This window comes from Homo sapiens, chromosome 12 (genome assembly GCF_000001405.40).
Source record: "Homo sapiens chromosome 12, GRCh38.p14 Primary Assembly".
Lineage (NCBI taxonomy): Eukaryota > Metazoa > Chordata > Mammalia > Primates > Hominidae > Homo > Homo sapiens.
Genome location: NC_000012.12, coordinates 132,413,685 through 132,420,029, shown reverse-complemented (window position 1 = coordinate 132,420,029; position 6,345 = coordinate 132,413,685). Strand labels below are relative to the sequence as shown.

General features: G+C 60.7%; 1 annotated feature.

The window, feature by feature from the left end:
- Nucleotides 4,949–5,087: a silencer, noted in NCBI's record as "fragment chr12:132991529-132991667 (GRCh37/hg19 assembly coordinates)". NCBI's record gives its function as "represses an EF-1alpha promoter that drives an FKBP-Casp9 reporter gene in an ReSE screen in HepG2 liver carcinoma cells {active_cell/tissue: HepG2}" and the evidence as "EXISTENCE:reporter gene assay evidence [ECO:0000049][PMID:32094911]".

Sequence of the window (6,345 nt, the reverse complement as noted above, 5' to 3'; positions counted from 1 at the left end):
CTGTTCCGCCTTCACAAAAGGATTGTCAGGCAACACGTGTTACCGTGACTGACCACGGCAAGATTCAGGAACAGGTGAAAGCTTTCTGTTTTCCTTCCCTTTCATCCATAAAGGAGGGTCTTTGCCAATTTAGCTCCTGGAACATTTCCGATTAAAAAAATTAGGAAGCTGGATCAGGAAGAATAGAGCCTTCACGAAACGGAGTGTGTGGGCGGCAGAGGGCTGGGAGGGCACAGCCAGACGCCAAGTCATCTACAGAAAACATCTGGACGGGGAGGCAGAGAGAAGAAAGCTGCCCTGTGGGTTCAGGCTGGAGAATGGATTTCAGGGTTTGAGGTGCGAGAGGGCTCAGAGCATCTCCCTGGGGCAAGAAAATTGAGTGGAGGAAGGAAGGAAAAGGTTAGAGGGCAGCTCGGAGTTACCCCCCTTTCAGTTTGCAGGTAAAATGAGGGGCCCATTGAAAGTTATCATGTGGCAGCTGAATTATGCCTTTTTTTTTTTTTTTTTTTTTTAGACAGAGTCTCCATCTGTCGCCCAGGCTGGAGTGCAGTGGTGCGATCTTGGCTCACTGCAACCTCTGCCTTCTGGGTTCAAGCAATTCTCCTGCCTCAGCCTCCTGAGTAGCTGGGATTACAGGCTCCCGCCACCACGCCTGGCTAATTTTTTGTATTTTTAGAAGAGATGAGGTTCCACCATGCTGGCCAGGCTGGTCTCAACCTTGTGATCCACCTGCCTCCGCCTCCCAAAGTGCTGGCATTACAGGCGTGAGCCACCGCGTCCGGCCCTGAATTATGCCTTTTTGAAGGGATCTCAGCAGGCACTGAATGCTGCAGGGTCCAGAGTTTATTTGGGTAACTTTACATCAACAAGACAATATATTTGGAGAAATTCACAACCACCGTCACACTTACTCAGCTCTCAGGCTGCAGAGGGTATGGAGGAGGAGCCTCTGACCTCTGAGCCCCTCGGTGTTTCTTCCCTGTTTCTCTTTTGTGGACTGTTGGAGAGACACCCCCTCCCCACGGAACTCCCTTCCCCAGGGCCCACTTCATGGAACAGAGCTTCTCAACACTCAACATGCAGCAAACCACTGCGGGTATTGTTAGAATAAAGATTCTCCACCAAGAGGTCTAGAGGAGCCCTGGATTCTGCCTGCCTTTCCTTCCTTCCTTCCTTCCTTCCTTCCTTCCTTCCTTTCCTTCCTTTTTTCCTTTCCTTCCTTCCTTCTTTCTTTTCTTTCTTTCTTTCTCTCTTTCTTCTTCCTTCCTTCCATCTTTCTTTCTTTCCCTTTCTTTCTCTCTTTCTCTCTCCTTCTTTCTTTCCTTCCTTCTTTCTTCTCTTTCTTTCTCTCTTTCTCTCTCCTTCCTTCCTTCCTTCTTCTCTTTCTTTCTTTCTTTTTCAGACAGGGTCTTGCTGTGTTGCCCAGGCTGGAGTGCACTGGTGCAATCACAGCTGACAGCAGCCTTGACCTGATCGCTTCAACGATCCTCCCACCTCAGCCTCCCAAGTAGCTGGGACTACAGGCACGTGCCACCACACCTGGCTAGTCATTTATTTTTTGTAGAGATAGGGTTTGACTATGTTGCCCAGGCTGGTCTTGAACTCTTGGGCTCAAGCAATCCTCCCACCTCAGCCTCCCAAAGGGCTGGGATTACAGGTGTGGGCCACCGCACCTGTAATCTTTTTTGATTTTAGATATTTGACTTGTACTTATTCAGTTAAGCATCCCTCATCTGAAAATCCACTCTGAAATGCAAACTCTTCCAATGGGCATTTCATGCATTTCATCCGAGCTCATGCCAGTACGCAAAAAGTTTCAGATTCCGGAGCGTTCTGATTTTGGATTTTTGCAGGAGGGATGCTCTGCCTGTAAGTGCCAGGCAGCCTTCCAGCTGCTGGGGAAGTAGCTGGAAACCAGAGGACAAGTCCCACTGCCTCAGATCCCTGTGGGGACAGAGTAGATGGGAAGCAAAGGTGTGCACGAGACCACGCCAGACACACGGATCGCACGGAGCGAGATCTGGCCGCATGGAGAGCCAGGAGGAGCAGGCGGGGAAGGGCCTGGCGGTGGGAGAGCTCCAAGTGTCTGCAGCAGAGCAGGTGGTGCAGCCACGGCCGGGGCAGCACAGTGAGAGGCCAGAGGGGAAGCTGGGCCGGTCCCGCAGGCTCTGCAGGCCCTGGCTCGGGCTTTCACCTGCAAGCAGGAAGGTGCTGTGGGTCTAAGCACATGAGGTGTTGGTTTCAGCTCCAGCTGGGCAGGAGGCTGGGCCGTGGGAGGAGGGGACAGGCAGGGGACAGGCAGGAGGCTGGGGCGGTGCTGAAATCTGTACCCATTGGCTTTGCCATGCTTCCCACAGAGCTGGGTCCGGCCGTTCCTGACTTTGTGGACCGTGGAGGGGTGACACTGTGGGCTTAGTCCCGCGGCCGGCTCTTGAAAGGCCCAAGGCCTCTGCCTGGTTCTTGGAGCCACTGCACTGCAGGGGTGGCCACTGCCTGAGGATTCTGACCCCGGGACCACTGTGTGGGGGACCTTGGGGAGACCCCCACCAAGCCAGGGAGTGCCCAGCCAGCAACTGGGCCAGTGGTTTCCCACGTCCGGCCCAGTCACCCTCATAGGACACAGCCCTGGCCAGCGGCACAACACGAGAGACCCCAGTGAGGACCCCCCAGCCAGGCCCCCTGAGTCCCTGACCCCAGCACTGTGAACAACGTAGTGGAGGTGTCATTTCAAGCTATTGGCTGTGCTGGGACAGAGGACCCTGATGCAGAGACCGGGACGGTGGCTGGACCACCGTGGGGCTGGGTGGGTGGGAGGCGTTTGGCTTCAGCGTGTGGTCTTGGCAGAGGTAGGTGGGATCTGTCCGTTTCTACCTCCTGCCCACCAGGCCTGGTTCCAGGTTGGTGGCATGGCCACGGCGGGACTCGGGGCCCCGCTGAGCTACTGGTCAGCCTTGGCTGAGAACCCCCTGCCCTGCCTCTTTGGGGCTGCCGCCAGCAAGGGGGTGGGGGGCTCCATGCGGACCCCTGGGTGTTGGGGGCTGGCAGGGGTGGGCCAAGGCAGTAGCACTAGGCAGCAAGGGAGCGTCAGGGCCCCGGGCTATAATCCCTCAGGGGCCATTCTGCGCCCTCTGGCCTTGACCCCCGGGGTGTGGGGCCCTTCCCACACTGGGTGCTGCCGGCCATCAGTCTTTTTAGAGGCCTCTCCTGCTGTAGGAGCCCACTGTGGGGTGGGGAGGGAGGACCCTCTGCTGCCCCCCTCCCTCTAGGGATGAGGTCTAAACTCCAGAGACCTGACCGGGCCCCCTCCCTTCCTCTCTCGGCCTGAGCTCTCCTTCCTCAGGGTCTGCTGGATTTGAGTGGGGGTCTCAGGCTGGGGGCACTGGCTGCGTCTGTGGCCTGTTGTCCAGCAGAAGGCTCTGTCCGGGATCGGGAAGTGGCAACGCGTTCCTCAAACCACAGACAGTCGTGTTTCCAGAGACGGCTGCCGCCGTGTCCCCACGTGCTCCTCCAAACCTCAGAACCCGGGACCTGCACCCCTCCCCACATCTGGAGATGGCCCCTGCCCTGGCTCGAAGCTGGGTGGGCTGTGGCTCACCTGTAACCAAGAATCCTTCTCACTCGCGAGGATGGGGTGGGCTGTTACTAAGTTCCAGGTGGCTCGTTAGGCAGCCGGGAGCCGGGACACTCGGATCCCCCGGGCATGGGGGCCTCTCTGGGAGGCCAGGACAGAGTTGCTGACCAGGTTTCCAGGGCTCTGGGGCCAGGCTGCTAGGGCGGTCCTGCCTGGGAAGGCCACCCACCTGCCCCGAGCTGGCCTTAATCATTAGGCTGGCCTGACGTCCTTTTAGAGAACAGCTCAAGCCGTGCTGGGAGCCAGTCAGCGGCGGTCATGAGAGCAGCCATTTGCACTTGGCAAACTTGGAGTGGCGCAATGAATACGTCCTCTCCTTGAAAAGGCCAGGGCACCTCACTGAGCTCTGGCCTTGGGTCAAATATAACTTAAGCTGCAGAAAAGGGAAAACGATGGGAAGTGAGTCTATTTTCTTCTCTGGACACTCCTGCCTGGTCCCCAGAGACGCCACCGTGACCAGGTTCTCACATGTGACAGCCCTGCAGCCCCGTCCTCCAGTGGGGTGGGAGCCGTGCCCTCCCCAGCCTGGCTGTGGCCGTGACTTTGGGAGAGGGTCCCGGGTGTGTGTTTGCTACAGTGAGGGCAAGGGGCCCCTGACTTCCTGGGGGAGGGGACATCCTTCACCAGAGGCCACCACAGCCGACCTTCCGCACTGTCCTTGCAGGGGCCTGGTGGGGAGCCTGGACAAATGGCCGTGTCACCCTCTGCAGCCTGAGGATGGGGCGGCAGCTCCGCCGGCCCCAGGACACTTGCCAGGACCCCAGGGCACGGGAGACGGAGCTGGTGGTGTGGCTCATCCGAGAGGGAGCTGCTGCCTCAGGGCTATGGGACGGGACACCCTTGGCAGAGGGTGGAGAGGTGCAGGGCCAGGAGAGCACCAGGAGTCTGTACCCGTAGAGCTGGGGAAGCACTTTGGGCAGGGACAGATCCTGAGGCGGTTCTCAGGCAGAGGCCTAGCTGCCGGGGTGGGGAGGGGGGTACACCTGGGACCGGGCTTCTCCAGCTGGGGTCCCTCAACAGCAGCATCCACGTCACCTGGGAGCACGTCAGGAATGCAGACTCCCTGGCCCCACCAGCCTTGAGCCAGCCTCGGGGAGCCCCATGCCAGGTGTAGAGACCCCGACCATGCCAGGTGTGTGTGGGGGCATCCTCGGGCCCCTGGGGCTGAGTGACTCTGCCAGGGGCCGTGGGCGGAGCCGCAGCGCTGCCTGAGAGCTCGGGGCCCACCCTGCTCCTGGATTCTGCCCCAGTTCCGGATCCCAGGGCTCCTGGCGACGGCTCTGGCACAGAGCGGAGCAAGAGAGACCCCTAGTGGCCAGAGGGTCAGTCCCGTCCTCCAGCCACCAGGACGGGCACCACGCCCTTCCCAGAACTGTCCCTGTGCCAGGGGTGCAGGTGCCGAGGCCCAGGCCCTTCTCTCTGCTGGAGGAGAAATCACAGAGACTCAACCTCAGGGAAACTGGGTCCTGGCCCCAGACCCACGGGGGCCCCGGGTTGTGCATGGCGGCCGTGAAACGAGGGGAGAGCCTCACCCACGCCTGGTCGGGGGTGCTCCACAGCTCCCTGGGGTGGGGCAGGGCTCCCCAGACCCCGGGCCTCCTCCCGGCTCCCACAGCCTCTGCCCTGCCCTGCGTGCGACCCGGGCCTAGGTGGGGTCTGCCTCCTGCCTGGGTCTCCAGGGGCTCTGTGACCTGCTGTTCCCTGCACGCCGGCACCTTCAAGCCCCAGAACACACCTTCTCCTGGAAGCTGTCACCTGCTCTGTACGCCGGGACAGGCCTGCAGGGCGGGACCCCAGCTACTGGCCTTCCCCCGAAGGTGGCTGGATTTCAACACTCGCTCCCACTTCCGAAGCCAGAGCGTGGAGCCCAGAAACAGCGGCTTGCAGAGGGATGGACCACCGCAGCCTGGACGGAGGCCCCAGACCCTCCACTCCACTGTGGTCGCTGGAGGAGCCCCCGGTTGAGGGATAGTGTAGAAACCTCAGCCAGTGTCCTTCGAAATCACCGAGCACGGGGCGGCAGCTGGGACAGGGTGTGGCGGGTCCCGGGCTGCAGGGAGGGCCCTTGGGGGAAGCGCCTTGGTGGGGGGAGACCCTGAGGTCTTCCCGGGAGCTGAGGTGGGAACACTGGAGGGGCCTCCGGGGCGCCTGCCGCAGGAGGACGTCCAGGTGCGTGGACGCAGAGACTCCCGTGGGCTGGGGTCGCGGTTCTGAGCTGCAGGACCCCAGGTACCCACTAGAGGGTAGCAGCGCTCTGTGGCCCTGGACCACCGACCACAGCCCACTCCGGAGAGCAGGGCCAGGACGGGGCAGGAGCTGGGTTACCCTCCGGAGTCAGCAAGGGTGGGCAGGCAGCCCCTCACCAGCCTCTTAGGCTCCTGATACCTGACAGGACTGGCAAGAAGGCCGCCAGGACGACCTGCCGTACCCTCAGCGCCCGGCACAGACAGGGCTGTGGTCTCTGGGCCAGAAACCCCAGGTCCTGGTGCTGGAGCCCAGCTTGTCTTCTGGGAACCTCCTGCTGCTCTGGAACCTCAACGTCCTAAAACAGCCCAGGCAGCTCTGCAGGACAGCCTACAGTGGTTAACATGGCACCCCCAGACCCCCACTGACACCCCAGACCCCCACTGACACCTCAGACCCCCACTGACACCCCCAGGCCCCCACTGACACCCCAGACCCCACTGACACCCCAGGCCCCACTGACAACCCCA